Source organism: Homo sapiens, chromosome X (genome assembly GCF_000001405.40).
Source record: "Homo sapiens chromosome X, GRCh38.p14 Primary Assembly".
Classification (NCBI taxonomy): domain Eukaryota; kingdom Metazoa; phylum Chordata; class Mammalia; order Primates; family Hominidae; genus Homo; species Homo sapiens.
The window spans coordinates 84329566-84347513 of record NC_000023.11 but is presented as its reverse complement, the minus strand read 5'-3'; the positions used below and the strand labels follow the sequence as shown (position 1 = coordinate 84347513).

Here is a 17948-nt window from a genome sequence, read left to right as displayed (position 1 = left end):
TACATTGAACAGTACAAAAGGAACAAAATACCAAATTTGTGGGATGCAGATAAGTAGTGCTGAGAGCAAAATTTATCCTAATGTATACATTAGAAAACAGGAAGCTCTCAAATAAATAATCTAAACTCCCACCTTAAGAAACTAGACAAAAGCTGGACATGGTGGCTGGTGAGCACTTTTAGTTCTAGCTACTCAGGAGGCTGAGGTGGGAGAATTGCTTGAGCCCAGGAGTTCAAGGCTACAGTGAACTATGATCACATTACTGTGACAGAGTGAGATCCTGTCTCTAAAAAAAGAAGATAGTGAAAAAAATAGAAACTAGAAAAAGACGACAAAATAAACACAAAGCAAATAGAAGGAAGGAAATAACTAAGGTATGAGCAAAAATCAATGAAACAGAAAAAAAAACATTTACTTTAGCTTCCCCAAAATTAAACACTTAGGTATAAATTTAGTGAAATAGGCACAAGGTCTGCATGAAGAAAACTACAAAACTCTGATAAAAGAAATCAAAGATCTAAATAAATGGAGAGATATTCCATGGAGATGGATAGAACAACTCAATTATATCAAGATTTCAGTTCTTTCCAATTGATCTATAGATTCAATTCAATTCCAATCAAAACCCAGAAGTTACTTTTCTTCTATGGATTGTGCTTTTTATTACCATTTCTAAGAATTCTTCACTAATCCTGAAGCCCCAAAGATTCTCCTCTATGCCTTCTTCTAAAAGTTTTAAAGTTTTATTTTTTATATTTAAATCTATGATGCATTTTGAGTTCATTTTTGTATAAGGTGTGAGATTTAGAACAAGGTCCATTTTTGTTTTCCTATGAATATCCAATTGCTCCAGCATTGTTTCTTGAAAAAACTGCACTTCCCCTATTAAATTCTTTTTGCACCTTTGTCAAAAGTCAGCTAAGCTGGTCATACTTGTGTAAGACCATTTCTGGGTTCTCTATTCTGTTTCAGTGATCTGTGGCTAGCCCTCTGCCAATACCACACACTCTTGATTACAGTAAGTATATAAAAAGTCTTGAAATTAGGTAGATACATTCTTTCCACCTTATTCTTTTTTATTCGATACTGTTTTAGCCATACTCACTCATTTTCTTTCCATGTGAATTTTAGAATTATCTCATATGTATCTACAAAAATCTTGCTGGAATTTGATAAAAATTATGTTAAACAATGTTTAATGTAATGTGATCATAGCTCACTGCAGCCTTGAACTCCTGGGTTCAAGAAATCCTCCCACCTCAGCCTCCCGAATATATGCAACTACAGGTGCTCACTAGCCACCAGGGCCATGTTAAACTGTGTTTAACAATTAGATGTTTGTCAAGTTTACCAATCTTTTCAGTGAACCCATTTTTTATTATTTTAAATTAATATCCTTTTTTTGAGCAGTGTTAAGTTTGTGCTGCAAAAGACTAATAGGATAAAAATTCAAGCTACAGACTGGGAGAAAATATTTGCAAACCACATATATTACATAGAATTCATATTTAGAATATATAAAGAACTTCTCAAAACTCAACATGAAAATGAAACAAGAACTTCAATTAGAAAATGAAGAGACATTTCATTGAAAAGGATGGCAAATATAGGGATGATAAATAAGCACATGGAAAGATGGCCAACATTAAGAACTTGTTGAGCTGTTACTACACACACCTATGAGAACAGCTAAAAGTTTTTAGAAAATACTGACAATACTAAATGCTAGCAAGAATGCTAAGAAACTGGATCTCTCATGCATTGCTGATAAGAATGTAAAATGGCCCAGTTTCTCTGGAAAACAATTTGACAGATTCTTATAAAACTTAACATATAACCATATGATCCATAATTTGCATCCTTGTGCATTTATCCTAGAAAAATAGAAACTATGTCTACACAAAACCTGTAAATTACTGTTCACAATGGCTTTATATGTAATAAGCAAAACATCTGAAACAATGCAAGTGTCCTTCAGCAGGTAAATGGTTAAACGAACATGGGTAAATATATATCATGGAATACTGCTTAGCAATAAAAACGAATGGGCTCGATACACACAACTTGAATGAATCTCCAGGGAATGATGCTGAATTGAAAAAGTTGATTTCAAAAGGTCACATGCTGCATGATTCCATTTATATAATATTCTTGAAAAAGCACAGTTATGGAGACAGAAAACAGATTAGGGATAGTGGGAAGGAGAGGAAGAGGAATGGTGTGATAAAGGGACATAGAACTATACACACATATTGTACAGTATCAATTTCCTGTTTTTGATATTTTGCTATAATTATGTAAGATGGAAGTTGGAGAAGACGGAGTGAAGAATAAACAAGACTTATCTTTGAAACTTCCCATTACTCTAAAATGATTTCATTACAAAATGTCTTGAAAATTGGTTGTAAATTCAGTAAAATGAAATTTTACAGTGCTTGAAATGCCAAGGTAATAATATGGAGCCAAACAAAATTAACAGAGGGCACATTTTTGCATAGGAAGAGCAAGATTGGAAATAGGATATGAATTAGAGTTATAGCTATATGATGGTTCTGTTTGAAAAAGAACCAGTTTATTTTTCTTTTAAAAGATTTGGTGAATCGTTTTCTCGAGAAACAAAACAAAAACAGAAAAAAGTCATCCTCAGTAGACTACATGTTGCTAAAAAGTCTGAATATTTATATAAATACCTTCTTTCTGCTAATAAATATTTTAAAGTTAAAGCCATAACTATTAACATTTTGAGGTGATTGACATGCTAACCATCATGATTCGATCATTATAAAATCTGTACATGTATTGAAACCTCACACTGTCAAACTGTACCCCATAACCAGGTACAATTATTATTTGTCAGTTATAAATAAAATAAGTTATAAAAATATAAAACACAATTATTTTTATTTTAGCGTATTGACATAAAAGTTTTTACCTTTCTGTGTACCCATTTATTCCTTTAAATCATATTTTATGCAGCATTCATTCATTATTTTACTGGCTAGAACTGCTAAGTTTTCTATGTTTACAAAAATTCCTCCTATATTTCTCTTATAAAGACTTGGATTGGGAATCGAAGAAGGAAATATCGTTTAATGGGGATTGAAGTTCCACCTCCAAGAGGAGGCCCTGCTGATTTCTCTGAGCAGCCTGAGTCTGGTTCTTTATCTGCACTCACACCAGGAGAGGAAGCTGGGCCTGAAGTAGGAGAGGATAATGACAGAAATGATGAAGTATCCATCTGTTTGTCTGAAGGAAGCTCTCAAGGTACTTTATATGCTGAATCTTCTAATAATAGCCTTTGTAAATTTGATGCATTTTGTACTTGATTTTCAGTTTACTGCATTTCAAGTCTAGAGTCTTCAAAACATTTGGCCAAGTATTTGAAACAATAGATTTATTTTTAATGCCTCCACCTAAACAGTCTCCTGCATCATCATCACAAGGAAAATTCATCAACAACAATAATAATCTCCTACATTTATAAATGTTGATTATTACAATTCATGCATTATAATTAAGTAAATGATTTTTATTTTATTGGAATTCTAGTCAATTTAGGTCAGAGCAGTATAAACACACTGTAATGAAAGAGTATGGCATAATGCGACAAATACCAGGCTAGTACTCAGGAAATGTGGATGCAACTCCTAGCTTTTCATGCGACTTCTCATGAGACTTTCATGCAAAGTATTTAATTGGGCTTTAGTTTCCTCATCTGCTAAAGAGAATTAGTCTGGATTATCTTTATGATATCTCTTAATTTTTCTCTAAAAAATAATTAAAATAATATTATGTAATGATACTATCTGTCCATGAGAAGTATGTTTCATTTGTCCTCAAGCATAGATAGGATTCTCTTTTGACATATTTTTATTAACACTTTTATTGAGATTTAATTTACACGTCATAAAATTCATCCATTGTAAGGCCAGGTGAGGTGACTAATGCCTCTAATCTCAGCACTTTGGGAGACTGTTGTGAAATGATTGCTTGAACTCAGGAGTTCGAAATCAGCCAGGGCAACATAATGAGACCTCATCTCTACAAAAAGTGTTTTTTGTTTGCTTGTTTGTTTTGTTGTTGTTGATTTGTTGTTGTTGTTGCTGTTTTAGTTAGCTACAGTCCCATCTACTCAGGAGTCTAAGGTGAGAGGATCACTTGAGCCCTGGAGTTTGAGGCTGCAGTGAGCTCAAGTAATTGTGTCACTGTACTCCAACCTAGGTGACAGAGTGACACCCTGTCTCAAAATAAAATCATTCATTTTAAATATAGAATTCAATGATTTTTAGTAAATTTTATGCAGTTGTACAACCATCACCATCACTGAAATCTGAATTTATATCAGTTTCATCTCTCCAATAAGTCCCTTGAGCCCATTTGCAGTCACTCCCTCTTCCCACTCTCAACTTCAGGAAGCCACTGATCTGCTTTATGACGATATAAATTTGTCTTTTCTGGGCATTTTCTATAAATTGAATCGTGCAATATATAGGCTTTTTGTATCTGTGATTAAGAAACAAAGAGGGTCATGCCTTTTCTCATTTTGCTTTTGTTTTCATTGAACTCTGTTTAGAATACTTACAATATATTTTCCAGTGTATTGTTTGCCTTTTAATTTTGCTTATGATGTTTTCTGATGTCAGATTTTCTTTTGTAATTTTTAAGTTTTCAAATCTACCCGTACTTTCCTTTATGGTTTCTGACCTTGGGTCATGATTACAGTCTTTCCTTATACTACAATTATGTAAATATACCCCCACATTTGCCTCTAGTATCCTTATAGTTTAATTTGTACAACTTGATATTTATTTCACCTAGAATTAATTTTGCTTTAAGATGTATGAATACATCCAATTTTATTTTTCCAAATGGTTAACTAATTGTCCCTACACCATTTGTTGAATAACTCATCTTTTACCAGTGAGTTGGAATGTAGCTTTTTATTAAATACACACACACACTCTCTCTCTCTCTCACACACACACACACACACATGCACACACATATACACACATGCAGACGTACACATATACACATGTGGGTCAAATCTGAGACTGCTTATTGTTACACTGATTTGACAGTTTACAACTTTGGCTTTATAAAATGTCTTAATAGCTGGTAGGGCCCTCATTCTTCTTTGCTTTGTAGTATATTGATTCTTGAATTGTTTAGTCATACAATTTGAACTGTTTAAGCATACCTTTTCCAAATCTCCTTCCCCAACATCCATTCAAGATTTTTCTTGGCATTGTATTAAATTTATAGAATACTGTAGGAAGATGAATTCAGCTTTGCACGTATTGAATTTTAGATAGTGGTTGGACATCCATGTAGAGCTGTCCAAGCAGGCCTTTGGATGATATGAGTCTGAAACTCAGATGAGTGCTTAAGACATAAAAAGAAATATGGAAGTCACCCACATTGAGGCAAAAAATATCTAGCCATGAAGATTGAAGATTTAGTTAAGTGAGAAAATGAAAAACAAGAAAGGACAATGGACAAAGACTGTGTATTGATAAATATCCAGATTTGGGCATTGGAGGAGAAAAGGGAGCCCTTGAAAGAACATTCAGAAACAGAAGAAGCAGGACAGTATGCTTTTCCTAAAATCAAGGAAAGAGTCGGGTGCAGTGGCATGCCTGTAGTCTCAGCTACTTGGAAAGCTGAGGCGAAAAGGATCCCTTGAAGTTGGGAGTTTGAAGCTTCAGTGTGTTCTGATTGCACCTGTGAATAGCCACTGTACTCCAGCCTCAGCAACGTAGTGACTTCTGTCTCTAAAATTAAGAAAAAAAAAAAAACAAATAAGGAGATTTCAGAAGGAAGAGGCGTCATTATTTCAGTAGTCTCGTGGTCTCATAGAAGTTAAGTAGAAAAAGGGATGAGAAAGCCATTGAATTTGGTGTTTTAGAAATTCTTTAAAAAAGCAATTAACTGCATGGGGAGAGGAGAGGCAAGCAGATTGCAGTAGGTTGAGTAATGAAAGGGAAAGCAAAGCTACTAGTATTAAGAGGGCCATGCATGTTAAGATCAGGTATTTGAAATGTTATCTATGTGAATATTCAAGTTTCTCTCTCTCTCTCTTTCTTAACATTTGTTATTCATATTGAAGATGATAACAGAGAATTAAGTGTACAGGGAAATAGTGAGGCAGATTTTAAAATTATCAAGAAAAAAAGAAATATTGCACCATTTCCAAGCCCTTTATTTCTAATATAGTTGGTCCTTTAAACCATTTCTGTCATTGGTTAGTGTTTACTAAATTGCATATGCCTGGAGATACTTGGATATTCCCAGTGACTCATGACTGGTGTTTTAGAGCCTGCTGAGTGGTGACTAGCTGAAGGAGAGTGGGGAAGTAGGGATTTGTGTGTTTCTGTGGTTGAGTGGGTGAGCTGAGAGAAAATATTCAGAGAAAGTACAGAAGACCCTAAGTGAAGTTTCGTTTCCCAACTCCCACTTCTCCACCTAAAAGATAATTTTAGAAAATAAGTAGTTGAAGGAAAAAAAGTGAAAGTTAATTTTAAAGACCACTTAATGGTCCACTCTTAATGGACCACTGCTCCTACACTGACATTCTTTGTCATGGTGTGTTCTTTAAATAGCTGGCATAGTAATCAAGACACAATGAGAAAAAGAAGAAAGAGAATTTAATGCATGAATCAAAAAACACTTGATCAGAAGTGTGATTGCCTAGAATTTTTTATCGGTGGCTTATCTTTCCACAGCTGCATGGTAACCTTTTCATTCTCACAGAAATTGCAACAGAAAAGCATAAAATCATTTTCAAATACTGAAAACAGCCCTTTTTGGTACAGTTTCCTACTAGTTATGTCCTATTCTCTTCCTCATTTTGCTAGTGGAGAATACTAATACGATTCGTTTGATTAAGTGAATCATATCATCTGGCCTAAATTAATATCATGCCTTTAAAATATGCTAACCATTTTCCTTCCAGTTTATGAAAATGTATTTAAATATATTTCTACTTTGAAATTTCCATTAATTACATCTAAGAAATATAAAGAAAAAATAATCTTTAGATTATTCTAAAATTAGCTGCCCATAGTATTTCAAAAACCTAACAACTGAAATTCAGACTGCTTATAATAGGGCTACTGATTCAGTAGCATTATCTAAGAAGGGAAAGATATCTTTAAGTTAGGGTTACATATTACATATTAAAAATCAATTGAAAATCACATTAAAATATTCTAGAAAAATCTGTATAAGCAAAAATTAAGATTTTTTTAAAATTCAGTAAAAGGCAGCTTTAGTAAGAGTCAAAAAAAGTGCTGCTGGTCTTTTAGCAGTTTCAGTTCCACTCATTTGTTTCTGAGAGGGTAGATACTTCCCTAATACAGAACTTCTGACTTACCTCTAACTTCCACCTTCCACCTCCCACCTTCCCTTTCCCATTTCCTTTCCCTTTCCCTGTGTGGTGATGAAGAGAAAAGAAGTGTGGTTAGGAAAGATAAAAAACAAAAACAAAAACAAATAAACCTACCTGAGCTCACCCCTCCCACAACTGCAAACTGTAGCAAAAGTAATAGCTAGATGGCTGAGCTCCTTAATTTCTGTATCTACAATTAATATACAGTGAAAAATAAATTTATGTTTGAACAACTTTAAAGATTTTTACTATCCTGAGAACCAAAATTTTTAAAGATGAGAACAATTAACATCTATGTCATTAAATTTTACATCACAGCCTCTTTTTTCAGCTGTATCTATTATATGGGTATGCACGTGAAAGATAATTATACAGTTACTTAGTGGGAGTACATACAGCCACCACATAGGGCGCCCTCTAGAGTTTTTACTGGGTAATTATTCCACTTTATTATCCAATTAGCAGAGCTGCTTTTCTTGGGGAATTACCAGGCACGTAGATAGTGTTTAGATTTCAAACATTCACAAATATTGAAGCTTCTGTAAGCGAAAGAAAACATTCCTTATTCAACTGTATCACTTCACATCCTTTTATTTTAGAAATCCTCAATATAGTTTTAATTTTAATCTTCCAAAATAATCAAACCATGTACAAAATATGTTGCCAGTAAAGGAGAACTGTGTACAAAGTTATGAGAAAAGGAGAATAGGAATATAAGGCAAACCTTTAAAGAATGTTACCTTGTTGATAAGCAATATAAACTCTCTTCTGAGGCCACTAGTGCTAATACTGGCTGATGACACTTTTTCCCTTCCTTCATTACATTTTGTTGCTGATTACATAGGAATTGAAATGTCTGTGATTTGAAATGTCTAAATAATGAGTAGGTAAAGGCTCCTCTGTCTATGAACCGTTCTTTAAAAAAATTAAATTGACCTGTTTTTAAGATTCCACATATAAGTGAGATCATGCAATATTTTCCTTTCTGTGTTCAGTTATTTCACTCAGCATAATGTCCTGCAGGTCTGCTTCAGTTTGTTCCAGCACTGCTATAAGGAAATACCTGAGACTGGGTAATTTATAAAGAAAAGAGATTTAATTGGCTCACAGTTCTGCAGGCTGTAAAGGAAGCATGTTGCTGGCTTCTTCTCAGGGAGGCCTCAGGAATTTACAATAATGGCAGAAGGTGAAAGGGAAGCAGGCAGGTCTTACATGGCTGGAACAGGAAGAAGAGGGATGGGGTGCTACACACTTTCAACACCAGATCTCTTGAGAACTCACTCACTCTTACAAGAACAGCATCAAAAGGGAAATCTACCCCCATGATCCAATCACCTCCCACCAGGCTCCAACTGCAACATTGGGGATTGCAATTTGACATGAGTTTTGGGAGGGGACACAGACATAAACCATATCAGGGTCTATCCATGTTGTGGCAAATGGCAGGGGAGAAAAACAGTCAAATATAAACAGATAGAGAAAAAAAAGAGGTTACCAGGATCAGAGTAGGAGGGAGAGGAAATAGGGAAATGCAGGTCAAATGATAAAAAGTAGCAAATATGTAGTATGAACAAGTCAAAAGATCTAATATGCAACATGAGGATTACTATTAATAAGTGTACTCTATTCAGGATTTTTGCTAAAGGAGTATATTATAGCTGCTCGTGGGTGGGGATGGATAACTATGTGAGATAATGGATATGTTAATTTGTTTCATTATAGAAACAATTTATATATGTGTGTGTGTGTATAACATTATGTTGTATATCTCAAATATACCCCCCAAAATTTAATTTTTAAAAAATATAGCAGAGGAGACAAAAACATTTAAATTGTGTTTATAGTGGACTTTGCATCAAAATTCTGGTAAGATTTTCCTGAATATCTTAAACTTGAATTCTCTATATGGTCATATGTGAGTTCCTGGATCGACCACATTTTCCTCTTAATAATTCCCCCATGCTCATACGAGGCACCCCTATATTTCTTTCCATGAAAAGGAATAGACTTCGAAAAATTCGTGAGGGCTGATAAATATTTTTGTTCTGCTTCCTAAGGTGAAGTAAAATGTCAGTTACCATGAGATCGCGAAATTCTACTAGTATTTATTCAAATAATCTCCATGATATGGCTGTGCCAAAAGAAGAGATAAAGAGAGAGAGAGGAACATTGCTACCTTGTTTTTTTAAGGGGCTGGTGGAGGGTAATCTAAAACAGAAGGGATTATACATGCAGACACCCTGTGCCTTGAACCGACCAGTTCCCCTAGCTCAGCCTGGAGAGTTTTTTAGTAGTCTGGTTTCTCTGAATTAATTTATTTCTTTCACTTATTTTCTCGTTTTTAGAATATTGAATTTTGATCAGAAAAGGGATACATGTTCATTTTAGAAAGTACTGGGAAATACAATAAAAATAGAAACAATCCTATTCCTCAGTGATAACCCTTCTGAAAATAAGGATAAGAGGATATTTTTGCCACCATTTTCTCTTAGCATATATACAGGAGTGTGTCTGTGTGTGTTTGTACACACATACATTCACAAAACTGGAAATACTCTGGATTTATGGTTTTATATCATAGATTTGAAAATTATTTTATGACTTTTTTCTTATTTGAATGAGAAACAAATGTTCATTGTAGAAAAATATTTAAACACAAATAAGCAAAAAGAAAACAGAAAAATTAAAAATCACTCATAATTCCATCTAGAAATACTAATGACAATGTCTTTGTGGAAACAGTCCTAGTGTGTCTCCATGAAAATTTACATATTTGCATAATAAATTTATTTAAATTTTATAGTGAAGTTTATATATTTTAAAATAAAATTAATGTTATATGTATCCACACAATAGATTTTGTTACCTTCATTTTTTCACTTGCCAGTAAACCATGAATATTTCCTTATAACTACTGTTCTTCTATTTCAATTTTAGCGGCTTCATAATATTTATTATAGAGATAGATTCTAAATTTCTCTATTCCTCCATTGTTAAGGATACAGTTTTTGTCCGTTTTTTCAGTTACAAATAGGACAACGGTGACCATCCTTGTATTTGCCCCCATCCCTACTTATTTCCTTTGAATGCATTGTTTGAAGTAGAATTGCTCATCAAACGTGTGAAATGAATTTGCCATTTGTGTCTTTTTATAATAGAGAAATTATTTAAATGACCTTGAAAATAGTATTCTCAAGAAAGTTTTGCGAAATGAAAATGAAATTATGGCATTTTTTTCTGTAGAAGAGCCCAATGAAGTTGTTCCGAATGATGCAAGGGCTCATAAGGAAGAGGACCACCATGCAGTAACCACAGATAATGTGGTATGTACAGTTTGAAATTCTTTTCTCATTACATGGTTGATTTCAAGCCCAAGTATCCAGTTGGTGAAAATATTCTCATTTTCAGAATAAAGTCTTGCTCCACTTCACAAACCAAAACAGACCTCTTTCCAATGAAATTACATATCTTTGATGGCTTAGTAAGTAAAATTTAAAATGTTGTCATTTGTATCACTAATTTTTTGATTGAGGAGATGTGCAAATATAAAAACCCAATACTTGGTATGTATATGATATTTTACATATAACAAGCTATTTTTCTTCAACACAGTTAGCAAAGAGCAGATTTCTACCTATTTGATGGATGGCAGAATTAAAACAGAGTTTAGCATGAGATCGTGAAGGAAAACTTTGTTAGTTGTGGCACATGTATGCAAGAATTTCCGACTCTGAGTTCTCTATTCAGAACATACCTATTGATGGTGTGTTTGGAACTTTTTTCCTCCTATTAATAGTTAAATTGTACTCTGGTTACTCATCTTAAAAATCACAATATAGAAAGAAAGACAGTATTAAATGTTTGAATAGCAAATAGAAGCAGGTTGTGTGTGGAGTAAACTGGGTTTTGTGAAAATGTAAACATATAGTGATGCTCCCTATGCAGCTGTTTTAGCAACATCTGTTTATATTCTGCCCTATCAAGTAACCCTATAATCAAGATGGTATTAAGAGTCAGATATAAAGGGGAATGTCATTGTCCTTTTGTTTTTGCTTTTGAATCAACGTTCTGTGTTTGATTGCAGCCACTAAAAAATAGCCTCTTAATTGATTTTTTTGTTGTTGTTACAAAAGGGCTGTGACTTTAGGGTTTCCCTTGACTTTCATTAGAAGCATTACTTATTTCACACTGTAGTCCTGCCACATGTCTTTAATAAAAGTTGAGCGCATAAAATAGTTTTGCTATTTTTTTGTTAAATAACAGTAATATATAACAGTGTTTTCTACAAGCAGAATATAGTTTAGGATTGTATTTTACTGATTTGAGTCCTGGTTGAAGTCAATGCTTGACCCTTCTAACACTAAGTTTAACAAGCATACAGGAAAACAGCTTTGATTGTGAGGCAAAGTCGTGTTTTTGTTAGATAGCTACTAGTAATTGTTTTCGATGGTTATGAATTGTGCTCATCTTAAATTCCACCAACTAATAATCTGCTACAGATTTGAGTTTTAGTGTGCAAGTTATGTACAATTTACAAATTGAAACATCTTTCCCTTTAAAGACATGCTCATTTGTAGCCTGAATTTCTCTGCGTTGAATCTCCTTTGCAGCAGATATTTGGAGATAATGAATGAAGCCATGGCATGGGATGACTCACAGTCATTTAGGCACCTAATTTTTCAAAAAGCAATTGATTTTTTAGAAACAAAATGCCACACTTTCAAAGGCTAATCTCCTCTGCCTGTAACTTTTGAGTGCTCCCAATTATTCATGGATAACAAATCAAACAGACATATAAGACCTATTTAAATGCACACATCTCTACGGTGGCCTTTGGTGCATCCCTCCCTGAATTGCCTAGCTCCTTTTTGCCAGAGCCAATCCAAATATGTAGAGAATCTGAAAAACATCAAAAAATATCAAATCTGAGGTCTTGGAAGAGCTGGCATGATGAAGCCCCAATTTTATAGAGATTAGAATAGAAAACAAAATATTGGATTCATCTCCAGGCAGCAGTAGAAAGTAATTTCACTGCAGCTGTTTTCCTGACTCAAAAGCCTGCAGGTCACAAACCCTGTAATAGTATCATATCCTCATACGCAATATATTAAATATAATCATTCCAAGTTAATTTGTGACTTTTAATCACCATATGTAAATATGTATGTATGTGTGTTCATATATGTATATACGTGTGTGTATACACACACACACACACACACATACAGAGTAGGAAGCCTGATTTCAAATTCTGCCTACAACATGTTGCTATTTATGTGCTTGTTCTTAAAAGACCGTCTAGTGACTGAATATAGCTTAGTTTTTCCTCTTTAAAAATTTTCTTTGGGTTGGCAGGGTTTAAATATTTAAAGGAGTTTTTTCTTGACTGTGTTTTTTACATGTGAAAGAAAAATTAGAGCTGATTTTACTTATACCTTTTTTTTTTTTTTTGCTTTTTTTTTAAAAAAATCACATGATTAGAGAACTTGCCCCCTCATGGTTGGAGCTAATTGGTCATTTTTTTTTCATCAACGCTGAACTGTTTTGTTCATTCTTTCTACAGATATTTAATTAGTGTTAGTACCTACTGTGGACAAGATATTGTACAAGCTATGCTATGCCTTTTTTTAAAAGCTAAAGATAATTTAATCTGTCTCTCTCCTTTCTCTTTCTCCCTTTTCCTCTCTCTCCACCTCCTCATCCTGGCTGTTACTCTTCAGTGAAGGAAACAAATCATCATGCTATTTTTATCATTACATCATAGATGCCTGCTTTTAATTAGTTGTCAAGCTAAAGTTGTGCAGTGTGCAGTAAATATTGGAATTTTTAAAAATTGTGTTTGATTTTGGAATATGTCATATGCTGACATTTTACATTAGAAGTCACAAAGAGGCATGTGGAAACTTAAAAAAGAAAGCTATTCCTATCAATTGTATGTTTACTCGCATTAAAATAGACCACCATTACAGGAAGTAAATTTCCTGTCCCTGGAGGGTGCTGTTTAAGCAGTTCGCCTGCTTTGTTAGGGATATTGTAGAAAGACATTTTCTATTTTAAATAGTATTAATTTTTTTATTTAACAAGCAGTCATCAGTTAAAGGTAGAGGGAGGTGGCTCAGACACACACTATATGTAACACTGAGGAGCCAGTCAGTTATCAGAATTTATTCCAGATAACCTAGACTAGATAACCTAAACATTGAATGCATATTTTCTATGCATTGCTGAGTGTAGTAAGAATGATGTGATATATATTTGTAACTTCTCTACTTGTGTTACAGAAAATAGAAATTATTGATGATGAAGAAAGTGACATGATAAGTAATTCTGAAGTAGAACAAGTAAACTCTTTCTTGGATTATAAGGTAGGTAATTTTAAATTATGAATTTATTAAGAGAAGGTATTAAATGAGGCAGAATTTTACAATACCTATATTACTCCTATTTAATAAGTTAAGCATTCTAAGGCTCTGCATTAATTCTTTCTGGCTACTTGAATATCAGTCAGAGTGCTGGTTATTTTAATTATTGCTGTCGGGTTTAGGGGTTATGATCTTAGGCAAAGAGTTTGCTGAGTGGAGTAAGTATTGATGGTATATGGCAGGATGGAGGCAGTACTTGGTCATGGCCAACATGAAATGTATGACAAAGCTTTTATAAAGCCAATGTTCATTTTTAAATGATAGTAAAAGGGATTTCTTTTTCCAGTGGACTTTGCTAATTTTATCCTAAATTTTTACTTCTTCTGTGGACAATTTTTAAAAATATGATAATACAGCTGTTATAGGAGAAGTTTGCAAACAATTTCCAAAGCAAATACAGAATGAATATGAATACAGATGACCTTTTCTTAATGTCATTTATTACTAAATTGAAAAGCTGCCTTTGACAGGGTGCTATACATATTATTTTATTAAATATGTATATAAGATATCAGTCTGTATGTCAATATGTTTTCTGCATAGATTTATAAAAGCTGTCCCTTTGATAATCATTATCCTATCTTACTAGGTAACTTTGGGAACTTCTGAAATTTTGGCCACACAGTCCTTTTCATACACAAAAGTTCTTGTTATGGAATGTCATTAGTGTTCAAAGCAGAGATTAGTAATGTTAAAATGTTAACAGAAAATAACATTTAATCAGAAAATATAACAGCTGTCATTTCCTCAAAAATCTTTTCAGTTTTACCATAATTGAAATGTATGCCATCCAACAGATTCTGTTTTCCAAATATTCATAACATGTCAAGCTTTAAAATATTGAATATTGTAAACACAGAAGGAAAATATCTTTTGAAACGTATTTCCTAGATGGTCAAAGAACATGATGAAATCCTATATTTTGACTGTATTTTCAACTAACAGAATTATAAGTTTGTTGGTTCTGAAATACAAGAGATTACGATAATCTCTCCTACATGGTCATATAATATTTCTAAATGCCCAGTTCAGGATTTCAATGTCTCTGCATGCCACAGCTTGGCACAGGTTGTGGAAACTACAGACGAAAGGACTAGATTGCACAGCTGTTAAGAGTGCTCCTCTTAGCACTCTCAAATATGTCAAAGAGGGTTGGGCCCAGGACTCAGAGGATTCTTTCCAAGACCTCTCCCCTCTTGGGTGGCAGTCTCCTTGAAAAGGTTTGGCGCTAAAAACCAGAGGAGGGCAGGGCAGAGTGTCTAGTCCAGAAATGTTTGTTAATATTTTCACCGAACTCTCAAGAGCATTGTATTAATCCAGTGTTTTCCATTGTAATAAATTCTGTGGAAACAAAGGGGTCATTCACTACCCCATTAGGGATTTTTTAAATATGTTTTATGTAAGTGTCTCAGGCTTGGCAGTTCCATAAAGTTCTTTTTTTAATCCTCAAAATTCAGCACTTATATAGAAAATATATCTTTTTGTAATCATGATTTTAAAATTTTTCAACTCACCTCACATGAACTTTGTTACTTCTAAGGGAAAGGTAAGCAAAACCTCATATAGCAGTTCTTGTTACTGATTTCAGGATGTTGGTTTTAAAAAGCTCTACCAGTTTAGTAATTTATCTGTCTTCAGAGAAAATGTTGTACCCTAGTTATATACACATACTAGTGTTTCTTGTTTGGGGATGAAAACCACATTGTTGATATCTTAAGTACCATTATGCATCACTTAATGATGGGGATAAATTCTGAGAAATGCATTGTTAGGCAATTTTGTCATTGTGCAAAACATCATAGAGTGTACTTACACAAACCTAGATGTATATAGCCTACTACATACCTAGGGTATATGGTATAGCCTATTGCTTCTAGGCTACAAACCTGTACAGCATGTCACTGTATTGAATACTGTAGGCAATTGGAACACAAATAAGTATTGTGTATCTATCCATAGAAAAGTTAATGCATTGTACTATGATGTTATGATGGCTACAACATCACTAGGTGATAGAAATTTTTCAGCTCCATTATAATTTTATGGGATGACTGTCATTATATGTGGCACATTGTTGACTGAAACGTTGTTATACAACACATGATGATATATTCATCCTAAACCTCCTGTGAGAAGAGACTTATTTTATTCACCTATGTGTTACCTGGTTGAGAGCCTGTCATATAATTGTTCAACTGTAACTATAGTTACAGTAGTTGCTGAGTGAGTGAACAAATGACTTAATTTATCTTTGGAAATAATTTTAAAACTATTATGCAAGTACTCATTTATATAAAATCAGGAGCTGGATCATTGTATTTTTCCCCTACACTGAATTATACAGTCTCTCATTCTTGAGATTTCATGTGGCAAACTGAAAGAATGTTTCCAATGGTGCATTTGATAATTATTACTATGCAACCATCCATACTCATTTTGGTCATAGTGGAGTTTTTGACTGAGATACATCACTAGAAATCCATGTTCTTAGGAATTCTAAATAACACAAAATGTTTATGAGACACTTTGATGGGCTCAGTACCTGAGGCAAGAGTAACTGCATCATAAAATAGCACCTCAGACTTGGCAGTCATTAATAGCTTGCTCAGAGATCAAAGCTCTGGTCAATGTGGAAACTGGAGTTCTCCTTACTATCATCTTGACGAAGAACTAACAAAGTTTACTCAAAATGTAGGTAGGGTTTTAACAACAATAAAAATAAGATAGATCTTGTTTTATGATATTCAGTAACTGATGTTATGATACTAGTTCCTCTCACAAGCATTGATTTACTTAGAAAATCTTGAAAGTATACATAAATTACTGCCTGTTATCTAGGAAGTATTTAATAGGCTTGCAAAGCAGCTCTGTGAAGAAAATGTCTGCAATATTAAATTATCTTAAAGCTGTTTATATTTTTCAAACATTGCATAAATACTGAGGAGGAGAAATATTTGCATGAAGAATTAGAAGTCTGCATACCAAAAGATGCTTCATGACTTTTGCAAATGTGAATCAATGTTTCCTAATACACTTGAATGCAGCTAAGAAGGACTGTGCATTCAAACCAGATACTACTATAATGATAACGTATATCTCTTGTATTAGAAACGACTTCCTGGTCAGCACTTTACTAATACTACTGCTCCAACAATGAATACTAATAAAGCAAAGGCCTAAATTTAGTAAAATATATTATGACAGGAGCATGTTCAGGTAAAAAAAGTTTTTAACTAAGCTGATAAAATAAATGATATAGTAAACATGTTAATAGATTGAATATGATAAATACTACACCATCCTCTCAATTGAAACAACAAAAATATCCATGTAACCAATTAATTTTAATATACTTTAATTTGGTTTTTTGAACAAATGCTCTTAAAAGTCCTGCTATGATTTTGAGACCAGTTTGCCAGATGCAAAGAATAGTCATAGGCTACTTCCATGTTTTTTGAAATGGTAACTGGCTGATTATTTTTTTAGAATAATTTTTACTTTTTAATGGTAAACTGACAAGTAAGAGTTGTGTATATTTATAGGGTACAAAATGCTGTTATGATTTATGAATACCAAGTGGATTAATTAAATCAAACGACATAACATATCCACCACCACAGATACCATATTTTGTGGTGAAAACATTTCAAATTTTCTCATAGTGATTTTGAAATGTACAATATATTATTATTATTTACCATATTCACCATTCATACAATTCAGCATATAAAAATACTTTGTTGTTTGAAAAAACATGGAGAGAATTGGAGAACATTATGCTAAATGAAATAAGCCATTAACAAAAAGACTCCCATCACGTTCTCACTTAATGTGCGCAATCAAAAACAATCAAATTCAAACAAGCAGAGAGTAGAATGGTGGTTACCAAGGGCTTGTGGGAGGCTGGGAAATAAGGGAATGATGGTCAGAGGATACAAAGTGTCAGTTAGACAGAAGGAAGAGGTTTTATTTCCCCCCTTTGGGATAGACTTTATTTTTAATCAGGTTACTTGATGCATAATTTTCATACAATAAAATTCATCTTCTTAAGTATACAGTTAAATGAGTTTTGACAGGTGGACATAGTTGTGTAAACACCACCATAATTTGTTTATTCACCTGCTAATGAAGTCTTG

The 17948-nt window shown here is 33.5% G+C and overlaps 1 protein-coding gene across 12 annotated transcripts in view; it reads left to right on the top strand.

The window, feature by feature from the left end:
- HDX (highly divergent homeobox) overlaps positions 1 to 17948 on the top strand; it is a 184576-nt gene that overhangs the window by 154940 nt on the left and 11688 nt on the right. For all 12 annotated transcript variants that reach the window (XR_001755653.2, XR_001755652.2, XR_938392.2 and 9 more), the window contains 3 exons: positions 3057 to 3264; positions 10634 to 10713; positions 13672 to 13755. Coding sequence is in view for 9 of the 12 variants with exons in the window: in XM_017029275.2 (XP_016884764.1) it covers positions 3057 to 3264; positions 10634 to 10713; positions 13672 to 13755 (372 nt within the window). In the remaining 3 variants the exon portion in view is untranslated. The remainder of the gene's footprint in view (positions 1 to 3056; positions 3265 to 10633; positions 10714 to 13671; positions 13756 to 17948) is intronic.